Genomic DNA, 25,096 nt, shown 5'->3' on the forward strand with positions numbered 1-25,096 from the left:
TCCCAATTTTCTCTCTTCACTGGGCTCCCACCCTCTCTTGCACGTTAATGTGCCTTTTACTTATCAGCTTGGTCTTTTCCTATCTGGTAAGTAATGTGCCTGTTACTTATCAGATAGGAAAAAATTAGTTGGAACCTCCTATTGGCTCATGATAATTTAGACCAGTGATGCCTCCCCCAATCTTACTGGAGTCGTAACAATTTCCCTACTCTTTTCCCCAACAATACATTAAATAGGCTTAGTATCTGGGCAGGAGAGAAAGGGTAGGTGGTAACAAACCACCCCAATAAGGGTGGTAGCGGAACTGCGCTCCACTACCTATTAGCTGTATGTCCTGGGTAGATTACTCCGCATCTCTGAGCCTCATTTTCCTCATCTGTAAAATGGGAATAATAATACCTACCGCTTAGGGTTATTGTGAGGAACAAATGAGATAAGCCATGTAAAGTGATTTGCCTTGTGCTGGCACATGGTAAGAGCTCAATAATGGTAGTTCCTCTCATAGGGATTGTTAGTTCTGTGATATTCATCATGTTAGCTTTAAGAAGACATTTCCGGGCAAGGGGTGGTAGCTCATGCCTGTAATCCCAGTACTTTGGGAAGTCGAGGCGGGCGGATCACGAGGTCAAGTGATCGAGACAATCCTGGCCAACATGGTGAAATCCTGTCTCTACCAAAAATTCAAAAATTAGCTGGGCATGGTGGTGCATGCCTGTAGTCCCAGCTACTCAGGAGGCTGAGGCAGGAGAATTGCTTGAACCCGGGAGTGCAGAGGTTGCAGTGAGCCGAGATGGCGCCACTGCACTGCAGCCTGGAGCAAGAAAAAAACAAAAGAAAAAGAAGACATTTCCCTTCATTTCAGTAATCTGTTTAGATATCTAGATTTTGGGTAGGGGCAAATGGATTGTTATTGTAGCAAAGGCAGAAACAATGTTAGGACCAGCAATCTCTTCCTCAACATTTGATCTTGCTGTATACTTCCTGACATCTCCTTTCTGCTCACATGTTTGTCATTGCTGTGGCTACACTACACCATGAGCTCCTTGAAGCTGAGGGTTGAGCAAGCTGCACTTAGCCTATAGAAGCCCATCAAGCCTGGACACTATGGTCTATTCATTGAGACCAACCTATGGGACTCTGGCTTATCGTGTTTTCTTGCAATTTATCATTTCTCTACCTGGTCTGATGTCCTCACATCAATTTAAGATATTTTAGTGATTAAACACATTTTATTTTCTCAATCTTATTTTTTTTAACCTTGGCAGGGCTGATTTATAATTTTTTTTTCAGTATAATTTCCTCTTAACTGTATCAGTCAGGATCCTGGCAAAAATAGATGGCACATGCAAAGTTTTTAGCTAAAGAGGATTTAATGAAAAAACTGTATTTGGAGCTGCAGATGAGGTTAAGGGACCTCAAGAGAGATAGCACCAGGTACTAGCAATAGTAGAGACTGCCAGGTACTAGCAGTAGTGGAAAGCTTTAAACCATTTAAACTGAAGGGGCAAGTAAAATGGTGATGAATTCTGAGTCCAGTCAGAATTGGAGTTGGGAAGGAGGGCTGAACTAACACATTTCCTGACCTCTCTCTTCCCCCACTTTCACATCTCCTGCTGATGTCTCCTTTTGGCCAAATTCAAAGGGAAGCCCAAGGACAAGAGAGCCTGGGTAATGTAGTCCAGAAGGCCAGTCTTCTGGGTCACACATCAGGGCAAAAGAATGGTTCTGGGGTTTTTTTGGGGGTAGAATGGGGTGGCAAGACTAATCAACATATGTGTTCTTCTCTCTTATACTTTCAATTATACTTTCTGGAAGGAAAGACAGAACAAAATAAAATAGGTTCTGTCTTAGCTTCCATGTACCTATTATGTCGAATTGCCATTCACAGAGCAAGAAAAGAGAATGCTGCTCAGCCGAGCAGGGATTTTTGTTTGTTTTGCTTGCTGCCATATTCCTAGTTCCTAGAACAGTGTCTGGCACATAGTAAATGGTCAGCAAATTTTAAATGACTGAGTAAATATACTCACCTCTGCCGTGACAGACTTTATATATATATCATCTCATTGACTTATCACAATAATCTGGTTAAGTAGGCAGGGCCACTGAGCATTATTGTGCAGGTGGTATGGGGGGGGTGGGTAGGTATTAAAATTTAATATGTGCCTCCCCAACCCACTTCCAAGCCTTGTGACTAGGCCCGAAGCATTGTCAACCCACCAGAAGAGATATACTTCTGTAAATGATTCACATTTTAATTTTTTATCCTCTTTATTGATTTTTGCACCTAGCAAGTTTCTGTTTTATTATTATTATTTCTCTTTTATGCATTGGAAAGCCAAGTTTCTGAATAGCAAAGACTGCAAAGATTATAACCCAGTCTGTCCATTCTCTAGGGCCCATGAGAAGTAAAAGCAGGCACTGGCATTCTGCACAGATGAAATACTTCCTACGACAGGAATACATGCTCACTTGTGGACTTCTCTGTAATCTGTAGGCAACATCAGCTCCTGATTTCTAGGTCTGGATCTGGGTTCTCTGTAGCACAGGAAGGTAAGAGTGATAAGAACTCTTTTCCCTCTTAAAGGATATAGAAACTTTTAAACCCATCTGCATCATAGTAAGGCTGTGTTATCTGTATCAGCATAGTTACTCTGTGATGAAGAAAAACTCAGAAAACTATCCAGATGTGGGAATTTCTCGGGTATTCCTTGCACTTGAACTTAAGGATGAATGAAGGTATATACAAGTAAGTTCCTTGTGTGGGTGTGGACTGAAGAAACTATGTTTGATCTTCTGTCATGTCTTTAGTCCCCAGTAACTCAGTCCTATTAGTACTATAGAACACATTCCCCTCCGGGAAAGGCAGGCCTGTCTATCACCTACACAGCAGCCCCCATCAACTATGATTCAGTTGACTGGAAGCATTAAAGGTAAAAAAGCAACACAAAATAAAGCAAAACTCTGGCTTCATCCCTTTAGGTTTGATTTATACCAGAATAGCTAAAGACATAGAAATATGAATGTAAATATCCTACCTGAAGCCTAAGAGGGATGTTAGTCTCCCAGGTTTAGCGTTTTCCAGTAACATAGAAGTCTGTAAAACACCATCCCATTACCTGCCTCATAACATATAGGAAAACTTGTGAATATAACAACTAGTTATTGTTTTAAAATGTGTAATTAAGTTACTTTGCATGCAGAACTTCTAAATAATTCAAATGACTGGCTTTTCTATTGGAAAATAGCATATATTCATCTGTTATTTCAGCAATGATTAATGAATACTTGATATCAAACTTTCATCAGTATTTTCCCATAGGTATCATATCCCCTACCCCAAATTATTTCTGTACTTTTCCTTGCAAGGTCTCTACTTCTCCTACATAAATGCCTTGCATGGCGGGAACTAAATCAACTACACAGACCCATACATCCAGAGAGCAGAGGTGAGCTGGATACAAGTGGCTTAGAGATGTGGTGGAAGGAGGCCAGAGCTCCAAGGGAAGGGCAGCAAGGAGACAACAGCATGGGTTGCAGCTCAGACAACAGGTAAATAAAACCAAGCAAAGCTGCTGGTCACAGATTTGACCAGGGTGGCAAGAAATGACAAGCTACCATGAGATTCAACAGTGGCACGGAAGGATGATGAGAAGCAAACAGATTAGGAGAAGCTGCCACCACCGTACATAGAGGCACAGATGACCAAGCAGAACAGCACCAGTCCCTGCAAGGTGTGCTCAGATACAGCTCAGCACAGCCATCTGGCCAGGAGGGAATGATAATGCACATGGTGTGCACTGCAGCCGGGAAGTTGAGAACCGCTGTGGGCACCTCAGGACTGAGTCTGGTTACCCTGCTGATCCAAGAAATGAAGCCATCTAAAATTTTGCCTGCTTTCACAATTTTCTGTGTGTGTGTGTGTGTATTAAACAAAGTGAACTAAGAAGCCTTTTATTGGAGACATAATGTACTCACAGTAGTTTCAAAATCAATGGTGTCACTCTTCAGGTAAATTACTCCAAGGCTTGGGCCTAGTGCAGATGTTCATTGGGGCAGGGAGCAGAGAGCGGCTGCATCTAGATCAGACAAAAAACAAAAATAAGGTTGTTAAATGAACAGGTGATGGTGATGGCAATTATTTATTTTGATAGGAAAGAACTTTGGGACTTGAGTGAGAGGTTGGTTGTTTGGTTCTACATCTTTGCACCAGAGAATGGCGAGGTACGGAAGGGAGAATGGAGAGGATGTTGTCCAGGCTCCATTTTCAGTGCTTTCACCTAACTGCCTGTGCAGCCTGGGACATCAACAGTACCCTGTCAGTGCGGGCGGAGCTGATTTTGTGGTTCTGACTTAGAAGCTGAGTTGTGGGTGACAGTGGGGGAAGGAAGTAGAAACAGTGTCCTTCAACCTTCCCACAGTTGATTCTTCTAGTATCCTTTTCTTTTTTTTTTCATTTATTATATTTATTTATTTTTTATTCACACATAAAAATTGTATATATTTATGGTATAAAACATGTTTTGATACATGTATACATTGTGGAATGGCTAAATCAAACTAATTAAAATATGCATTACCGGCTGGGTGTGCTGGCTCACACCTGTAATCCCAGCACTTTGGGAGGCCGAGGTGTGAGGATCACGAGGTCAGGAGATCGAGACCATCCCAGCCAACACAGTGAAACCCCGTCTCTACTAAAATGCAAAAAAATTAGCCAGGCGTGATGGCGCACGCCTGTAGTCCCAGCTACTCAGGAGGCTGAGGCAGGGGAATCGCTTGAACCCGGGAGGCGGAGGTTGCAGTGAGCCGAGATTGCACCACTGCACTCCAGCCTGGCAACAGAGCAAGAGTCCATCTCAAAAAAAAAAAAAAAAAAAAAAGAATTACCTCATGTATTTATCACTTTTTCATGGTGAGAACACGTAAAACCTACTCTCAGTAATTTTCAATATATACTACATTCTTATTAACGATAGTCATGAGGATGTACAGTACATCTCTGGAGTTATTCCTCCTGTCTAACCGAAATTTTGTGTCCTTTGACTGATGTCTCCTCAGCGTCTGGCAGCCACCATTCTAATTTTTGCTTCTATAAATTAAGCTTTTATAGATTCCCCATATAAGTGAGGTCACGTGGTATTTGTTTTTCTGTGCCTGGCTTTTCTAGTACAAAAAAAAGCCTATTTTTTCCCCATATATCATGGATGACCTCTAGATTCATCCATGTTCTTGCAAATGACAAGATTTCCTTCTTTTTGAAGGCTGAATAGTGTTCCATTGTGTACTTTTACCACATTTCTGATATTCTTGATTTCATTTCAGTCTCTCTCTTTATTGCTTAGTTCTTAATGTATTCTAGTGACACCCATTGATCTGGGCATGTTCTGAGCATTCCCTCTGTCCTTCACTGCAAAGGCTCCATTTTCTTCCATAGGCTCTAACCCTGAGGACACCGAATTACCCTATTTTTTCCCCTATACCTCAGTCTGCTATTCTGCCTTCTTCACTGGCTTATTTTCTTTCTTCTGTTCTCTAAATGTAGACATTCCTCTAGATCCTCTCCTCAGGCTTTGTCTACCCCAGTCCTCCCTGACCTCAACAATCACTTCTCCATGGAGAGCATCCACATTGCTATCTTTAGTTCTAGCTTTTCTACAGAGCTGCACACCCACATTCTAAATAACAGCTGGTTATTGGTTCATTCGTTCCTTTGTCCATTCATTCAGTGTTTATATAGCATCTATGAGGCACCTGGATGAATACAACAGGGTCTCTAACTTTGAGAAGTTCACATCGCCATCAAATACTACACAGGCTTTTCTAATTCAGAAAGTTTAGAACTTAATTCATTGTCTTTCCTTTAAAATCTGTTCCTTCTCTAGACGTCCCATTTCCTGCCATTGGTATTCTCTTCATCCAGTTACGTGGGCCTACAGCTGGGGAGTCATCTTCAATTCTTCCGTTTTTTTTTTCTTCCTATATCCAATTAGCTACCCAATCCTGTAGATTCTACTCTGATTGTGATTCCTGAATCAATACCTGTTTTCTATACCAGCCCCTATTTCTCCCTTTGCTACCTACTGTGAGGACATCTATGAAAAGCTCCTGACTGGTTTCACTTTTCCAGTTTTTCTTTACCTCTTGTCCATCCTTCACACAAACATTACATTAATTTTTCTAAAGTGCCCTTCTAAACATATCACTTCTTTGCTTACAGTCCTCCTTGCTTATTGGATTAAATTCAAACTTCTCAGTTTGGTATTCAAAGCTGCTACAATGTAGCCCAATCTAGTTTCTCACTCTTATCTCTACACTCCATTCTACGCTCCAGCAAAGTCCTACTCTTTCCTACCATGTTCATGGTATTTCTTCCTTTCTTTCAATGTCTACATGTAGCTTCTTCAAGGGCCATCCAAATGCCACCTCATTTATGAAGCATTTCACAAAGGAGAGTGCCCTTCTTAAATATTATTAGCACATTCTGTACTACTCCCTTTGCATATTCTACCAATTAGAATGGTTATTTGTGTAATTTGTCTTCCTTCTTCATAAGCCCTTTGAAAGCTGAGACAATTTTTACTCTGAGTACCCTATAGTGGGCCATGACTTCTTGCACGTTAAGTTTGCACTAGGCTGATAATCTGCTGAACTGAATTTAAAAAGAATAAACCCTCTTGCCTTGAGTCATAGAAACGGGGACTAAATTGAAAAGACCTAAAAGCTCATCTGCTTCAACCCCCTCATTTTTCAGACGAAGAGATGAAGGGAACTGACTTGCTCAAGGTCGCATCCTTGTTAGTGGCTGGGCAAGGATAACAGACATAAAAGGCCACAGACTAATATTTATCAGTGCTTACTTGGCACCAATAGGCCCAACAGATCATCAGTAATGACAAGACCAGAGAGAGGGAGGTTGGGGTGTGTAACCTGCAAAAATATATTGTGTTCCAAAATATAACAAATTTGCTTCATTTATTTGCTTCAACAAACCGAACTAATAAATATGTTTTATAGTTAAATGTTGTCTAAAAAATGAGGGTGGATTTAAAAAACAAGGAAGCAAAGTTTTCTAACATTACCAGCAGAAATAATTATGACAATACTGTCAACACCACTGGGGAGGAGGTGCGGATGGTTAATGGGTACAAAAAATAGAAAGAATGAATACGACCTACTATTTGATAGCACAACAGAGTGACTATAGTCAATAATAACTTAATCGTACATTTTAAAATAACTAAAAGAGGGTAATTGGATTGTTTGTAACACAAAAGATAAATGCTTAAGAGGATATATGCCCCGTTCTCCATGATGGGATTATTTCACACGGCATGCCTATATCAAAACATCTCATGTACCCCAGAAATATATACACCTACTATGTACCCACAAAAATTAAAAACAAATAAAATGTTAAAAATACCACTGGGGTGATAAACTCAGGCTGAAAATAAGAATAAAGAAATTTCTCATGCTTTGGAAAAGCTGTGTGTTCAGCTGGAGTTCTTGGTGAAAACATGCAGTAATTCCGTGGTTAAATTCATTACTTTGTAGAAACAAACTATTGGCAATCTGCTATTATGCCACATTAACACTTCTTTTTCCACCTAGCTTAGCCTAGTACTCATTCTCTAGGTTTGTTTAAATGTTTACTTGTTTTTCTTTCCTTATATTACTAATTTACTTGTAGAAATGCATAGACAATTGCCTCTGAGTCTGTTCAAATTTTCTTGCCTTGTTCTTCTCTTGTAGTAGAGGAAACATTAGTTGTTTCTCTTCTCTATCCTTATCCTCAAACAGAATCATTTTCTCTCACCCAAAGATGAAAAGCCCAACAAAACATGCTGTGGGGATAATAGTGTTTACCTAGGTGAGGAAAACAGACTTTTCCAGGGAATCTCAGTAATTATTACTTGGCCAGAAAAGCTCAGCTCTTAAATGTTAGCTCCAATACTACAAGACCTCATCTGCATCTCCCAGGTGAGCGCTTGACTCACTGTTACTCACCAGAGGAAAACCTTGGTAGGTAGCATTAATCAAACTCTTTTTGGCCAGTATGGTGGAGCCATGCTACGCATTGAGACATCCATTAAATAGCATCACCCCAGCAGCCACACAAACAGCAAAATGGGCTCAAGAGCTCTTCATTGTTCTTTCTAACCCATCATAAGGCTGGACAGATTATTGACACTTCACCAGATAGAACTTACTTCTCCTTTTGCCCCCTGGCAACTACATTAAAATCATAAAGGAAATCACTCATCAATAGTACATTGCAGTGAAAAATTATCTGGCAAATTTACAAATCCTTTGTGTAATTATATAAATGTACATTTTAAATATATCTAAAATCTGATTTACATTGTGCATTTTATAATTAATACAACCATAGTATGTCTGTCCTTTAATTAAATCCTTCTTTCTCAGTCCCACATCCTGCTGCTATAATCTTACTTTCATTTTTGGCAAAGTGTCACCTAGCTCCATCTTCTTTCCCCTTTTGCCTTAGTACACACCTGAGCGTCTATTAATCAGAACCACTGCATGGTGTGTCATGTTTTATTGCTTAAAGGGTGGTTACACTCTAAAAAAGATTCGGTGAGAATGACTTCATGGGGTTTCACATTTATTCTCTTTTAATGACTTTCATATCCAGTGTACTCGGTTTTTAAGTCAAAAGATAATTTTGAGGGGCTGCTGATGCCACAAATTCTCCCTAGAACCTGAAAATCCAGCTGTTGTCTCTGCTTCTTACATCATCACTGTAATAAAGAATCTGCTCTTGGAACCCAGCTGGCAAGTTTCTTGATGGTGTCAGAGGCGAACAGACAGTAGGTCACTTCTCTACAGCCCGTTTCATTGTTGGCGTTTCTGCAGATCTGTCTTGGAAGCCCTTAGAGAGCAGAGCTGTTATGAAATACACTGCCACATATCAATGTAAGGAACTTTCTGCAGATGTCTACTTTGAGTATGGCCTGTCCCAGTCCTAGGAAATCACACCACATCGTTCTAAAATTATAGATGGGGGGTTCATGATTAAAGTTTACAAGAAAGGTAATAGTAACAATAACAGCTAGCATTTATTGGATGTCTAAATTTTATCAGGGACTGCACCAGGCATTTTTATAAATGAGTATGTTCTTGTTTAACCCTCATAGCAATGCTATGGTGTATGTTTTAGTATACCCATTTTACAGATAAGGAAAAGTGAGACTTAATGGGCTTACGTAACAGGTCGAAGTTTAGAAAGCTACTGGATAGTGAGGCCAGAATCCAAACCCAGATCTCTCTGAGTCTAAATCTGTACTCTTTTCACTATATAACAACTGTTCCAATGCAGCATGGACACGGGACACATTTCTAGTTCCCGCTGTGATCACAGTACAAGGAAGATGCTTATTTCCACGATGGTTCAGAGCCACTGGAAAGATCTGGGAGCACAGACTCCAGGAGAAGGAACTATTTCAGAAACTGCCAATAAGTATAGTCCCTTCCCTCCTCCTTTCTAATTGCAGATGAGAATGTCCTCTAACAGTCTTCTCAAACTCTAATGAACAAACGAATCACCCAGGGCTTCTGATTCAGCATGTCTGGGGTGGAGCTTGTGATCCTGCATTTCTGAGAAGCTCCCAGGTGATGCTGATGCTACTGGTCTGGGACCACAGGTCTTATTTCTGACACTCTCCTTTCTACTAGGGTTGTTTTTGAAGGAGCAGTTCAAGCCAAATAACTTGGCTAACAGTTCACACAGCCAGCCGACTGGCTTCTGATTCTAGGCCAGTTTGTCAGGTCATCAGGCATTACACAGAATTCAAGGAGTTCTTAGCATAGAGCACACTGTCAAAAAATTGTTTTTAGATCCCCAAGGGTTTTCCCCTCTCTCTGGAAATTCAAAATGATAATGTCTCTAACATGTAAAGTTCCTATTTTTTTACATTATTGTTATTTTTAACAATAATTATCTGGTAATAATTCAAATAACACCTTCCCTCTGAGAAATTCAATGAGCTTTACTAACCTTAATTGTCTAACAGCAATTCCCAGGTGAAGATAAAGCTGTCTCAAAGATCATAGTAAATTTAAAATTGTTCCACTTCCCTCGTTTCTTTGCCCCAAATGTAGTGGTGAGTTAGTGGGGACGGGTTACTAATTGGCAAAGGCCCACTATCATAATTTGAGGCACAGCAAATTTCATAAAAAGGATACATCTAAGAAATATTTAGCAGAGAGGTCATTGTGGGGAATACAATGTTAGAAAAAAAAGAGTTAGAAAGTGTAAGATAAGAAAAGAGAAAGCAAAATCAGGACTAGCTGATGACCTCCGATGAGACATTTAACCTCTAGGTGGCTCAGCTTTTCTATCTGCAAAAAGAGGAGGTTGGTTTTATGATTTTTAAGGTCCCTTAAAACTCTAATAGTCCCCTGAGAAGGAAGATGTGGGAATTAAGTAGCTCATCAACCTGTTAAACCATTAAACATGTTAAGGAAGTCTATTTGACTTTTAACTTTTTAGCTAATTACCCGAAACAAATTCCCAAGTCTACGTCACCAGCCCCACCTCTCTGGAAAGTGGTGAGAAAACCATTTAATGAATAAGGCACCAAAGACATCACGGCCAGATAAACTAATCAGGAACACCATCGTCAGCTTACTGATGCTGTGATAACTATTTTACTTTTTAGGTTTTAGTTCCTTAATTAACCACTAGTTAATACCCATGTCCATAAGAAACACCTCTGATGGCTTGAAGACCCCTGGGATGGCCCTGCCAACACAAGGTGGAATCACAATCCCACTGTTTGTCACATTAAATCTATGTTAATTTTCTCCATAGAGACCTCTTGATTCCTCTTTGACAGTTCATAAACTCTGTTAATATAAGTTGCACATCCCATGCCATGAGCGTTAGCATTATCAGATACAGTTGATTCTTGTTTAAAATAAGAGATCTTTTGGATCAGAGTACATGTAAACACACACACCCACACACCCACACACACAATCATGAATTTCTGGTATTAATGAATCTGGCCTGGTGATGGGAACCCCTCTATTATGTCACCGGATACTGGAACCTTCTTATCCAGAAAGCCTGCCACAGGTCATGTTAATAAGATCGTTTTAAACTTTGTAATGAGAATTCTAACATGAGCATGATTTATGACACAGCATTTTATTTGGTATTATCAGAGTTTCCTATACCTTACCTCTTACAGTGAGTATGTGTTCTGAATTAACCATTATAGTTTGTGGTAAATGGAAAAAAAGGTACAGAGAAACATCACAGTGGCATTACTCCAGATAACACACTCTGTCACTGTTCCCAAAGTGAACATCATTTCCCTCTTCCTGCTCCCATCACTTCAATAGTAACTTTGGCTATTACTGACTAAATGCTTACCGTGTGGCAGGCATTGAGCCTTTTCACAGATAACTTTATTTTCTTACAATTACTCTTTGAAGTTGGGAATTATATTCCCATTTTATAGACGAAGGAGGTGAAACTGATACTCAGGAAAGGTACAGTTATTGGTCATCAGTCATGAAGGCAGAGGGTAGCAAAGCAGAGTTAAGGGCCAGGTTCTAACCACATGTTCTAGAGCTTAACCTATACCAGGCTCACAATCACCAAACCACTGATCTGCCTTCATTCCACTCCTCTTCATTTGTGATCCCCACCATTGGCTTAGGCTAGATTCTTCTTCATGGCTCTCTCATGTCTTCTTGAATATTTCTTGAAATTTCTCAAAACCTTCTACACTTGATTTATGTTTTCCCTCCCTGTATTAATAATTTAATCCAAAAACTCATTAACACTTCTTTTCAACAGACTTTATCACCCCTTTTCTTAGCTCTCATACTCCTTCTAAATTACTCTTTTGAGGCCTCACATTTGACATCAGATGTTCCACACCCAGCTATTGAACTCACTTTCCCAGAAGCCCAAGGAACCTATTGTTTTCAGCTGGTTCATTAGTAGGCCCCAGTTGGCCTTACCAGATGTATTTGTCCAGTTTGATCTTGCCCCATGATCAACCATTTCAACACTGTCCTCAGTAACCATGCAGATTTCCTTCCTTTTCTAACTTTCTATGTGCAGTGCCTCCTTTTACATTCATCAACTGTGAATCTGTATCACCATTCTCCATTTGCTCCCACTCTCAGAACAAAAGGCTACACATGCATGCTACCTGGACCTATGCTCCTGCCCACTGTTTCCAGGTACAACCTATGGCAGTTTTTCTTAGTTTGTTCTCCTTTATGAAGTCCCATTCTCTTTTTCAGTTGATGAGCTAGCATCCTAGTTTAATAAAAGGATCTACACCATGCAGTGTGGTAAGCTTATTAGCTCTCATCTCCTCTAATATCTCTGAATTTTCATTATTTTATTTCCTCAGGATATATCTTTTCCCATGTTCCCTTCGTATCTTGAAGGTTATTCTCTCTACTTCTCTTTATCTTCCTTTGGTTTCATCAGGGATACTTTCTCTGTAGCTGATAGCATATCAATTTCTAATAGTACTAGATTAATCATCACCACATACCTTTTTTTTTTTTGTCCCGCATTCAACTCCTGCCCTTCAAAAATCTTTTCAGATGGTGTATCTTAAAGTGTGTTTCATACTGGAACTTCAAGATGCATCTCAAAAAAAGTTCCTCAGTCAAGTAAGTTTAGGAAACACTGAAAACTATATATTCTATTTTCAAACTCGCAAGTGTACACAGGATATTAAGGTGCTGGAAGCCTAATCTTTGTCCAGGCTTACCGGATTACAGACTCCCCCATCCCCCTTTTTAATGGAACACTTATTTAACCTCAGAATATGCTTCGGGAAAAGATGCTTTAAGGGATTCCCCTGGTTCCAAACTCTTAAGCCTGGGCTCGGAAATTCACTGACTCCCTATCAAATGAGTCCTCTCAGATTTCCTTTCCATTAATACTCCACATGGTCTAAACTGGTTAACTTATAGGGTGTCAGAAAGACTAAGCACATTTCTATCTCTGAGCTACTGTATATACCAGTTTGGCTGCTTGGAATACCTTTATCACCTTTCAAAAAATTATATAGGACTTTTTTCTCCTTCAGGGTCCATATATAAAAATGTATCCTTTATGAAATTTTCCCTTGTGAAGACTGCTTTAGCCCATAATGTTTTCTGCCACTTTTTAAGTACTTCAATAAATGGTTATGGTTTACTGCCTGTTTGCTATATTATTAGCGAGGGTGTACATCCTCTTGGGTAGGAACCTTGTTTTATACACTACAGAGACCCCAGCTTTTTGAGCACAGTAGGATGTTATAACCATGTCATCGGTTAATATAAACAGAAATGGATGGCATTAAGACATGATGGTTTAAAACCCAATTTCTGTAGCTATTGGAATAGTTTAAGATGCTAACAGCCCAGGTGAAATGTTCCATCACAATATTGGGAAGAAACACTACCCGCCATCACTGCCATTGCCCTGAAAATGATACCATGTGTGTCTAAGGATGTGGATAAAGGCTAGATACAGAAGAGCAAAGGCAGCTCCGTTCTTAGGTGAAAGTAAGAATTTGCATTAGTTAACACCAAATGGCGATAAGATTAAAATAATCTAGGAACATCAAGTGATCCATGAAAGGAATCACTGGAATATACCAATGGTAAAATTACCATTCATAATCATTAAATCATGGTAACTTGATGAAAAGAAAAAGGATATTTTCCTACTTAAGGAAGTCAGGGTAAGTATTGTCTGAGGTTCCACTGTGTGCTATTGTGCCTGGTATACAGAATGTGTAGCAACTATTTACAGAATCTGCTACTGCCTTCTAGTCACATTCCAAATTCTATCTCTTTGAATCAGTCTGGAGACACAATACATTGGTGAATTCAAGGCAGCTTGGCAACGACTGGCACAACATAAAACCCCAAATAATGAATTCCATCTTTCCCATAAAGCTCTTTTATTGACACAACATACAACAGCGCAGGGCAGGTTGTCTCGGGCTAGTGTGTAATAACTAGATGTTAAGGGGCCCTGAGTTTTTCAGATTAGATGTTATCTGAAGTTGGGACTCAGCAGGTTCCCTAACAGTGAATTTTTAGTGGGCCTACGACTAGAAGTTTGGTCTCTTGATGCTTAGTCAGGGAGTTTTATTATGTGAGAGAGAAAAGTATAGCTTTCTTTCTTAAAACTGCAGCAATTTCATATTTTAGCAGAAGAGAAAGTGCATTTTATTAGAGTATAACCTGTGGAGTATTTTGCTACCTTCCTGGATATAAAGCGGTATACAAACAAAAAATTTAATAAAAAGCTATTTTATAAATAAGAATGTTTACTTGTGTTTACCTTAAAATAGGTATAGCTTGTATTATTTAACATGTGAAATAGAAGGATAATGGTAAAATTTCATAAATATAAAATTCTGTGTCCGTCTTCAGTTAAAATTCGTAACAGTGTATCAGAGTGTTGGTTATTAGTAGTAATCAATAATAAGTATTTTTTAAATTGGAATTTTTATTGCAGGAGATTATTGGGTGGGTGAAGCTAAATGGCCTAGATGTTTTCCTGTCATGTCAATACTTAAGAATTGTCTTTCTGGGCAATTTACACATGTGAGAGTGAAAATGAAGGGTGGCCTGCCTATTGGGTGTGTAACAGGCCACCGGGGCAAGACTGCTATTTTCTGAGAGCCATGGGCAGTTTCTGCAATAAAGTATCTGAGTTTCTTCTTTTTGTAGTAAAAATAAATAGTTTACTTTTATGTTCTGGGTGAAGCCTGAGATCTCTGGATCTCTTTGCTGGATTTCACTCTTGGTGGGGGCAGGGAGATACTATTGGCAATGCTTTATATATATTGACCTAGACATGTTAAAGATTATGTGGTACTTTCATGAACACTCTAAAAATGAGTTCTCCCTATCATGAGTTGCATAGATGAGGAGATTGAGGTGGATGGGGTGAAGAGGAAGGAAAGGGCAGTTTAAGCGGGCTAGCTAATGAGTAGTAGAACTTAATCTAAAACCAAGATTTTCAGCAGAAAATGCTTTTTTTCCCCAAAAAATGCCATGGTTGTCAACAAGCTTTGTAGCAAATCTGGGGCAGAGCACTAGATGGAGAATCAGAAGATCTGCCTTGTCTTCCTGGATCTGGTAAGAACCAGCCGTGTGACCATGGCCAAGTCACTAACTTTTGTGAGTCTTATTGTTCTCACTTATAAAGTCATGAGCAAGGAATCAATGAATGGCATAATACTTGTAAGCTGTAAAATCTCTCTCTTGTAAAATGGTATTGACAATAATGTATGCTTTGCCTATCTTATAAAGTTGTGAGGCTAAAATAAGCTGATCCATGTGGAAGTGCTTTGTATAGTGTGGAGTACTGAATCAATGTTGTCTGGAAGATTTAGGAAAGGGTCCCGAATGTGTGTGGGAACTGACAGCCAGTCCACTTCCATTCAGGTTTTAGGAGAAGCTATAATAAAGCACTGGCAGCAGCTCAAATCCCACTCCATCCTCTCCTCTCCCAGCACGCTGCAGAGAATCACTTGAGGAAAGTTACTTGAGTGGGTGAGCCAAATGCTCAAGTTCCAACCTTTCTGAGTAGAAGCCACAGTGAATCCTGAGCCACAACACAGGTGACAATCACTGTTCCTCCAGGTGTGTCTGAAACACTGGGGGACCCTAGGGAAGGAGGTCAGACGTCACTGCTCCTGAGGACCCGTTTTCTCCTGTACACAGCTCCAGCCCACATGATTTCACCTGGCAGCCCCAAGAGACAAAAAGGATCCAGAATTAGCAGGAGCCTCCTCTCCTGATAACCTAAGTGCTCTGATTGAAAGGCAGAGGGTATCAGGAGAATGGCTGTACCGAGTCGGCATTGATTTCTCCAGCCTTTGTCTGTGTCTGGTTTCTGTCTCGTTTGGAGGTGGTTACTGTTACTACAAGCAGCATGAATCATGTCTCTGTTAAAAAACAGAGCTTCAATTGTCTTACATAACCCCTGGTAACTGAACGTCTAATAATAGCAAGCCATTTCCAGGTAGGGAATCTGTCTACCTCCCAGACACACACACACACACACACACACACACACACACACTACTCCCAATGCTTCACAGCACAGTGAGACAGACAGGGAGGAGACAGAAGGAGAAAGGGGACAGCACAATTGAATTTTTTTGTGTTTTAAAATATATTGAATAATCATGCATCATGGGATCTGATAACCAATATACTTAGCTGAGCTAGTTTAATAAACTGTAGAAAACAAGAATTCTTCTTTAAAGTATTTGAAAGTATCCCAATCCATACCAGACAGACACCTTCTCTAACACTCTTATACTGCATAAAAACCCCAAACCCCCAAAACAGAGTGGGGTGAAAATTTCACTGGATTGTCTGCTAGCTTGTACCAACTAGCTTCAACTTTCAAAGGATTTTTTTTGTCCTCTTTTTTGTTTGACCAGAGAGTGATATTCCAAAGGTTCTTGGCCGAGATCATTTCATAAAATTCCAGAGAGTGAAAGGCAACTGAAAACATGGCTGCAGTGTTCCACCATGCAGACTATGTAATGTCAGGCACTTTTGCCCGAGCCACTTTCTTTGACGGAGATGACTTTCCATCTGAGGACTTACATTTTTCCCATGAGTACACTCTCTGGCTTGTAATACATGATGAGGTCTTTTTATACTTGATCCCCACTCAGCTACCCATTAAGGTGGCTACTGAAATAAAAAAAAATAATAGGAGAGGCTGAAAAATGATTTTTGAAAAATCACAAAGGTAGGATTTTCTTTAAACTACCAATTTGTTTGAGAACAAATACAAATGCTGGATAGGAAGTTTAAAAGTTTATGGGGAATAATAATATAAATGTATAACATATATACGTCCATTTCCTCACTGCTTCACCTTGCCCATGCTAGGAAAAATCACTTAAAGGCTGTATTTTTTGAGTGTGCATTCTCAGAGTGAAGTAGCTGTACATATCATGTAAATTGGACTGGGGAAGGACTTCGCAGAAAATTACAGATGGCAATCACATCCTGCCAGTCATTTGGTCTAGAACCAGAGAAGAAAAACTTTCTTTTCTCTTTTGATTGTTCAGTAACATGAAACAGTGGACTAGACTAGTTCAAACCAAAGAATGTTTTAGGGCACACCCACTTTGAGGACCAGCACCTGGCTATGCTACATGCTCTTCAATTGTTTAGGCATATAAAAAGGAGTGATGAGATGGTTATATGTCAAAATGGCTGTTCTCCCTCCAAACAGGATTTGATTGGCTTATTTGCTTTTGGAGTACTCTCCAAATCCATAAACAAAGGAGTATTGAATTGAAGAAGCAAACAGGAGAAAGAAAAAGGCTAAAAAGGAAAAGAGAGAAGAAGAGGAAGGAAAAATACTAATTTCTCAGTATTCCTATCTGCAAATCTGGCTGGATTTGATAACAAAACTCCTACTACTGTTCTCTAATGGTCTTTGCTGCATGCCATATGGACATGGCTTCTAAAGGGGATGAATTCTAGGTTTTCCTCACAAATATCCAAGCACAGAACAGCAGGGATCTTGACGACTAAATCATCCTAACTCACGACGAGGATCACAGAGGTGGAACATGGCTGTTGGGACTAGATTCTTCTGCTTATTTCATGTGCTTTGTGAATTAAATTGTTCGTAGAGTTGGAAAGCTGGTGGACTAAATGTTTTAATAAAAACAGCCATGAGACACAACAGTTTTCTTCACAAAGGCTTTCCCCCCTAGCTACTGTGAATATATTGCTGAATGGTTCTGACTTCTGGAAGGGCAGGAGGTTTGCCTCTTCTCTTTGCCTCAAAAACCAGGCTTATTCTATGCATCTGGGAGATGATTATACTTACCCGAAATTTCAGGATACTATGTCAGACAGTTCCTTCACAGTGGTGTGTCTGGCACCTAAGCAAGGACTTGGTGGGCCAGACACATTTAAAATGTAAAAGTGGATGATTATATTATTTTGCATTGTAACAATGAGAGTATTTCTGGATTGTAGCTGACGTGTAGATCATCATAACCATATGTGGCACAACAAACCACACAACATTGCATCAGAAGCTTGTAGTTAATATTTTTAAATGATTGATTATTTTGAAATAGAGAAATGGTGGATGCTTTTTTCGACCTCTTTAAATAACCACTTATTGAATGTCTATTGTCAGTGATGGACTCTTTCTTCACAGAAGGGAGCTGGGCTATGCCAGACTCTCACCATGTTCTTTCTCCTCTAACACTGAACAAAATATCAGTAAAACACCAAGTACAGCTGGTTTTGAACCTAGTAAGAAATCAGTCTGTAGTAATGGGCCATATTGGTAATAATTGGAACTGGTGATATCGATAGCAGTGGGAATAACTGACTTACAAAGGCACAGCAGTTCAGGAACGTCTCAGGGACTCAGAGTGGGTAAATGCGTAAATCTGCTCTCACCTATTTATATGCTCCAACAAATATCTGGAACTCTAGAAACTTCAAGAGTCTAATATGATCAGGCCACGTTTATAGGTATTATAGGATTCATATAAAATAAGGAGGCATACATGTTGATCTAGTGAGCGTCTCCATATTTGTACAACACTCAGGATATGTCTGAGAACACATTTTAATTTTTAGAATCAGCTATAGAATCTGGCAGTTATTATAAAGCAAACTTCACTTCAAAAAAATTAACTGAGAAGCCAGATGATAATCCAGATATACAAAACAACATTGGTGGGATAAGTCAAATAATTCTCTAAAATGATTATGGAGAAACTGAAGAAATGAAGGGCACCTATTTATCATATGTGGGTCCCCAGCCACGTTTGTAATCTGTTGTGTGACCTTGGGCAAGTCATGAAACTTCTCTCGAGTCTCATTTTTCTCATATATAATGTGGGAGTGTTAGATTAGATGGTTTTTAAGATTCTTTCCAGTAATAACATTTGATGATTCTAAAGTAAGAAGAGATGAAAGAGTAATTCCTCTTTCCTCTTGTTTTGGTAAATACTTGCTTTCTCCTGCTCCGTGCCTATGCAGTTTGCAGTGAGTATTAGGTTTCTGGACTCAAGAAGTCAAATAGTAAATACTGAAGCTATTTTTCCTTGTACACATGGACAAATCATAGGGGAATAATCCTTCCTTTCTTTGTATATCAGTGTCTCTTCTCAAATCAGACTTATGCCTAAGGTAATCACGATCATTCTGGTACTAATAAAGATTTTTCCTCATCCTTCCCACAAGGCCCTCACCCATGCTCATGAAAGCTTATGTGATTGGGTTATTTCTATATTTATGTCTTGGCTATTTTTTCTCTTTCAACTTGTTTATGAAGTCCCTGGTAAGCATAAAGCTGCAAAAACAAAAACAAACAAATAAAACAAAACAGCTCTGTTTGAATAATTTACTTCAGTTGAAGCAGTATAAGAAAACATCCTAACGCCGAGGGGAAGAAAACAGGTCATAAAAATACCCTGGTATCTTAGAAAAGACTAAATAAAAGCTTATATCAATAATAGTTTCATATGTTATTGTCTTTCATTTTCAAAGAGAATGGTACATATTGGCTTTATAGTCTGGTGTACAGACGTGGCTATTTTTCCCCATAGCTCTCAGGTCAGTGCATCCTCAAAGCCAAGAAGGCCCAGAGCCTGCCGAGCTAGCTTTACATAAACAAAGGAGCTACACAGAAAACCCAATACCCGGAGCTTATATCATATCCTGACTAGGCACTCTGGTTACCCATGACTCGCTCTTTTCCATCTGTGCCCTGATTCTCTGCTGGTTTAATTCCCTTCACCTAGAATGCCCTCAGTTTGCCTCCTTTTACTGCTCAGAATTCCCTCTGGACACAACTCACGACTAGCATAAGCCCCATTTCCAAGAAGCAGCTTAGTTTGACCCAACTTAGTTTGACCCAGCGAAAATTTTCATGGATAGCAAGTGAAAATTAGTCCTTGTGATAACTGGAGTCACTGAAACCAGGTATCTAGGAAGCACTCAGAGAATACCAGAGAAAAACTTTCAAGGGTTGCAGTGTCCTCATAGGAGGAAAAAAAAAATCCTAGCTTTAAGAACAAGCCCAATATAGAAGCTGTGGTATGTAAGAGAAAAGTTGTAGCCATGTACGGGAGGAATTGTGTTAAAACAGTCTGACTTTTTTTTTCCAATAAAGGAGAAGAGATCCTCTGTTTCTTAAAAGAAGTTTAGTCATTGGATATAGCAACATACAGTGTCATAAAGTTTAATTGCATTAATTATGAAGCTAAAATGTCTACATTTTAGTAGAGAGAACATGGGGCATAGCTAAATGGCGAAGACATAGGAATGTGTATACAATTTGAGTTTCACTTCCTCCAAATCTCTCAGTTAGAGGATCCCTCTCAGTCTGACGGTCTTATCATCAACAGCTTCACAAACTCTGACAACACCTGGCTGGGTTTAAGGGATGGGCCATGATATATCTTGAGAGTAAAAGATGGAATGAAACTCAGAAATGCTGAATGCTTTTATATATGTATACAATTTTATTTATGTGTATATTTATATATCAATATATACAAACATATATATTTGTATGATGTTTGGCAACCTCACTCATGGTATTCCTGTGAAGTAGGCATGTGGTAAACATAATTAGCCCATTAAACAGATGGTAGGGCTCTGGCATATCTCACCATATTCTAAAATGGTGGAGCTGTAAGCAGGGACTAAAGAGAGTGTAGTTTGATACATGGCTAACTGCAAATCTCTGTGAATTGCTACTTTCCTAAAGACAATCTGGGTAGGCTGCATTTGGCTGAGAACTGGGGATAGTTTAGGAAGCTTTAAAAATATACAAAGGGACAACTTTTCACATTCATTCAGATATAGTATCTTCATTTTTACTTACTAGAGGCATTTTTTTTTAAAAAACAGCTTTTTATCTTAACTCATCTGTGTTCCAAGCAAACTTCCAAATTGCTGAGCAGATTAAAAAAAAAAACCCTACATGCCAAGTAGAAACACTGGGTAAATGTTATTTTTTAAAATTGTCTTAACAAAGTGCACTTTTGGAAAGGATAAAGTTGAAAAGACGTTTGGTACTGTAAACACTTAGCTGTCATTGTAGCACAGTGACCAAATACGTCCAAAAGCACATGTAATGAACTTTTATCCGACTGAATTATATGACCATGGCATTGCCACTCTATAGTACAGCAGGCTTCAGAGATCCTGTTATTAAATATTCTAGCCTAATTCTTTATCATTTGAAATAGGATCTAGCAGAAGTGAAAGAGTTACTAAAATTAAGACTTGAATTTACAAGTGTGTTTGAACTGGCTTCAGGAAGACATGAAACATCAATACATCTGGAGAATAGAACTTGCAATTGACTGTTCTTTACCATCTGGTCTCAAGAACATTTTCTGCTTGGAAGTTGCATAAGCAATGAAAAAACACACAAACAACTTCCTGTACCATGTTTTTGGTCACTTATAATGACGCATTACAAAGTAAACCAGCTAAATATGAGCAACTGCGCCTTACTCGAGATGACAACATACATTATATAACTAAGATCAATGAAAAAGAACATCTTTATTTTAAGAGACCTGGACTTAAAATATTCAAGAATAAACATCCTTCCTTCTAAGGTGTTTGTACTCCTTCTAAGGTGTTTGTACTGAGTAGTTTTGGCTAGACAGGTTTGTAGAGTCACTACTACAAAACAATCCCTATATTTTTTCAAACTGAAAAAGGATATAAAAAAGCAAGCTATATTGAGGAATAAAATGTTCCATATATTTTAAAATGTTTTTTAATGACATAAACTTGCCTTTTTAAGCAGTAAAATATATTCTACACATGTTTTTCATAGAAAACTTTTACATATCTTTGTTTTCTTAAACACAGTATGTTGATGTAATTTAATTTTTTTCTATGATACAGGGTCATCCTTGTGACTATTCATTGTTCCTGTTTTACAGGAATACACTTTTCTTACTTGTGGTGAGAACTGGCCTCATCCCTTGGCTCAGCCTAACGGCCACAGACTGAGCTATAGCCCACTAGCCACTGCCATAGCCAACTGGCGTCACTGTCCCAGTTTTTCAGACCCATCGCCTCTAAATCCTCTCTGCTAAATGTATTTTCTAATGTGCTTTGGATTAGAAAATCAAATAAATAAGAACTGTAGAGACAATACTGCTTGAATGCAGGGTTTGGTAGAAGATTTGGGGGAAACTCATTTGGACACTTGAAGGTCTTCAGTTACTTCTTTGCTCAGGGTTGTAACTCAGAGATCTGAACTACCAGAAAGTGGATTTTGAGGTATTATTGTGTAACACAGAGTGAAACATTTATGCACTTTTATTGCAAGGCTTCTTATTTTAAACAGGGTTGTCCAGAAATCCATTCTTGATTACTTTACTTGATAGGTCTCTGATCCATTATATTTCACTCCCTTGATTTCCTCCAGCAATGTAACTAACATAATGACAATTGGGAAGTAAAGAAATAGCACATTTTTAGGATAAGGTGAGAGAGTCTTGGTAACTGACTTCATCATAGTGATGGAGGCAAAAATATACAGTCAAGTTAGAAAACTTCCCTGGACTGCTAATGGGAACTCTGGCCTGACTAGACACTGGGAAAACATTAAAAACTGTGAAGTTATTTACATTAATTTTCAGTGTTCAGAGAAGTAACATCTGATCATCTTTTTTCCTCTTCTCCAAAAGGAGAAGTCAGAATAATTCGCAATCTGTGATAGGATAGGGATTGTATCGAAATTTGCCTTTTTATTACCTCTGAAAATAGGATTTCTAAGCAAACTAATAACCTTAAAACTGTTGGGAGGAAGGATGGGGGAAACCAAATGTAACCTATATGAGGGGGGGGAAACATCTTTAACTACTTTAACATACACACATCTGATAAGTTACTGAAAATTCTTATTTATTTTGAAGTTAGTGCTGAAGAAACTCTATCTGTTAAAACTTAGAAATCTCAGTTCAAAGTACATGGAAATATTCCATGATCACGTTTTCAGCTCATTCTAGTCGTCTGTCTCCCAGTTTATTTGAACTGATGAAATTTTACAAAATAAACTTCTTTAGCTTTCTAGAGTTACGTTTTTACCCATGTAATCTATTTGTTAATTTTTGTAGCATGCTTATATGATAAAAAATACTATGTAAGTACTGAGTTTGCTTGTTATGGATTATTTCTGGATACAGAGAATTTGCAAGAAACTTCAGTTTACAGCAGCCAAGGTTACTGCAGACTAAAGCAGAAGTTCAGGCATAAACTTGTCTTCTACCAGTTTTCCACAACTTTGCTGTTGACAGCATCTGAGGACATGGTTGATGAGTTCTGAAAATCATTCACAACATTGCTAATGTTTAGGAATCTTATAGCTTTGCCGGACCTTTCCATAATCACGAGAGAAAACCTTTGACGAAATTAGAACAAGTCCTCATACCCTCCCTTCCTTTCTTCTAGTGATTTTTTTTTTTGTATTGGAACAATCGAAAGATTCAATGTTTTTAAATTCCATAGAAGACTAACGATTGAATAATTTTCTCACATCTCTGTTTGCACTTTCGCAGTCTGGTTGCATTGATTTGTGTCTCACAAGTAGACATTTCCTTTGTTGGTCACAAATCAATGCTACAGAACAAACCTGCCAGCACATTCCACCCCCACCCCCAATTTTTTGCAGTTTAAAAACAAAGCACATTTATATACTTTTTCTTTTAAAAATTACTTTCATTGGTTAGTAATACACTAAAAGAAGACAAAGCCTCAGAGTTAAAAATCCCCGGGAGAAGGAGCTCCTCTCTAGCTGGTCTCTGATTCTCTCACACTGCCTGGAGCAAAGAACTGCCTAGTGGGAGAGCAGCGCTCGTCCGCCGTCCGCTCCTGGTGTGCTCTGTTAACCCAATTAAGGTCCTCGCCTTCATACATCACAAAGCTGCCCAAAGCAACACACTGTGATGTCACAGTCAGATATGATTTCATGGCAGGAAAAAACCAAAAAGGCAGAAAAGGTTGAACGTACTCTGCTTTTATTCAAATCTTCTAAGAGGGGGAAAAAGGGAAGACTTTTTTTTTTTTTTTTTTTTTTTTTTTTCTGAGAGAAAAAGAGCACAAGCTTTCTGACGTGAATGTGAAAACTCCGTTCTGAAGATACCCTGGTGCTTTTACCCCAAGTGGATAAGCATGAATAAAGAAGCACAAAGAAACACTGTCATCAATCAGAATGCTCTTGCCTACACTTAGCTACAGGTGGAAAGCAAGCAGGCACGATTTGATTTACCTAGATTAAAAGAGCAATTTTCTATCTTCCTTTTTTCCTTTTAAAAATAGCCAATCGATTTTGGCCTAGCTATTGCTGACTGTACAGGTCCATTTTAATACACCACTGATTAAACGGTATGTTCATGGCTGAAGGCACTACAGCAGGAACAAACAGAAGCAGCTGAAGGAAGGGGGTGGGGGACAGGCGAGAGCTCCAAAAAACACTCCACGAAGGCCACAACTACTCGGCACTTCCCCCGTAGACAGTTGATATAGCACATTTTAGGCTTGAACCAGCTATAATTCTGGGAGTTTGAAGCCTGGAATTCATTTAGCTTTTTAATTCTGACCTTAAGAATAAAAAAAAATCAAAGCTATGTTTTTTAAAAAACACAAATGAGGGAAATATTGTGTCCTAAACTGCAATGACATCTGAAATGAAGATGTGCCTCAGAAAGATGCTTCTTATGAAACACTTGAAATTTCATAAGTTATAGAATTATCTACTGAAAGAGGACCTAGTTGTTTAGAGACTTTGTTTAGTGAAATTGCATGTAAAAGAAACAGAAAGAAAATAGGACTTTTATATAGGGTGACTATATGTTGGGATTCATCAGGCAGCTCTCAGAAGAGGGAGAATATCTCTACTAGTTCTAGAAAATAACCATCTTGATTATCATGAGAAAGTATAGCCTTTATCGAAGTCTGGGTGGCAGGAAAAATAAATTAGGGAGGGACCTTCTCAGGCAACTCAGAGAGAGACCCAACATCCAGCAGATGTTTCTTCTGAGAAAGACAAGGTCCA

The 25,096-nt window shown here is 38.9% G+C and overlaps 1 protein-coding gene and 1 long non-coding RNA gene across 18 annotated transcripts in view; one reads left to right on the top strand and one right to left on the bottom strand.

Annotated features, from left to right (window-relative positions):
* Nucleotides 1–3,949, top strand: part of ZBTB20-AS1 (ZBTB20 antisense RNA 1) — a 37,168-nt gene extending 33,219 nt beyond the window's left edge. Inside the window, exons 8-9 of the long non-coding RNA NR_038993.1 lie at nucleotides 2,394–2,550; nucleotides 3,367–3,949. This is a non-coding gene — a long non-coding RNA (ZBTB20 antisense RNA 1). The remainder of the gene's footprint in view (nucleotides 1–2,393; nucleotides 2,551–3,366) is intronic.
* The window catches only part of ZBTB20 (zinc finger and BTB domain containing 20), an 832,789-nt gene that overhangs the window by 70,530 nt on the left and 737,163 nt on the right, over nucleotides 1–25,096 (bottom strand). For 15 of the 17 annotated variants that reach the window (NR_121662.3, NM_015642.7, NM_001348801.3 and 12 more), the window contains one exon: nucleotides 3,976–4,076. The gene's annotated coding sequence lies outside the window, so the exon portion shown is untranslated. Of the gene's footprint in view, nucleotides 1–2,469; nucleotides 2,536–3,035; nucleotides 3,095–3,975; nucleotides 4,077–25,096 lie in introns of all 17 variants that reach the window. The other 2 variants (NM_001348803.3, NM_001393394.1) reach the window with 2 other exon arrangements.

This window comes from Homo sapiens, chromosome 3 (assembly GCF_000001405.40).
Source record: "Homo sapiens chromosome 3, GRCh38.p14 Primary Assembly".
NCBI classification, from domain to species: Eukaryota; Metazoa; Chordata; class Mammalia; order Primates; family Hominidae; genus Homo; species Homo sapiens.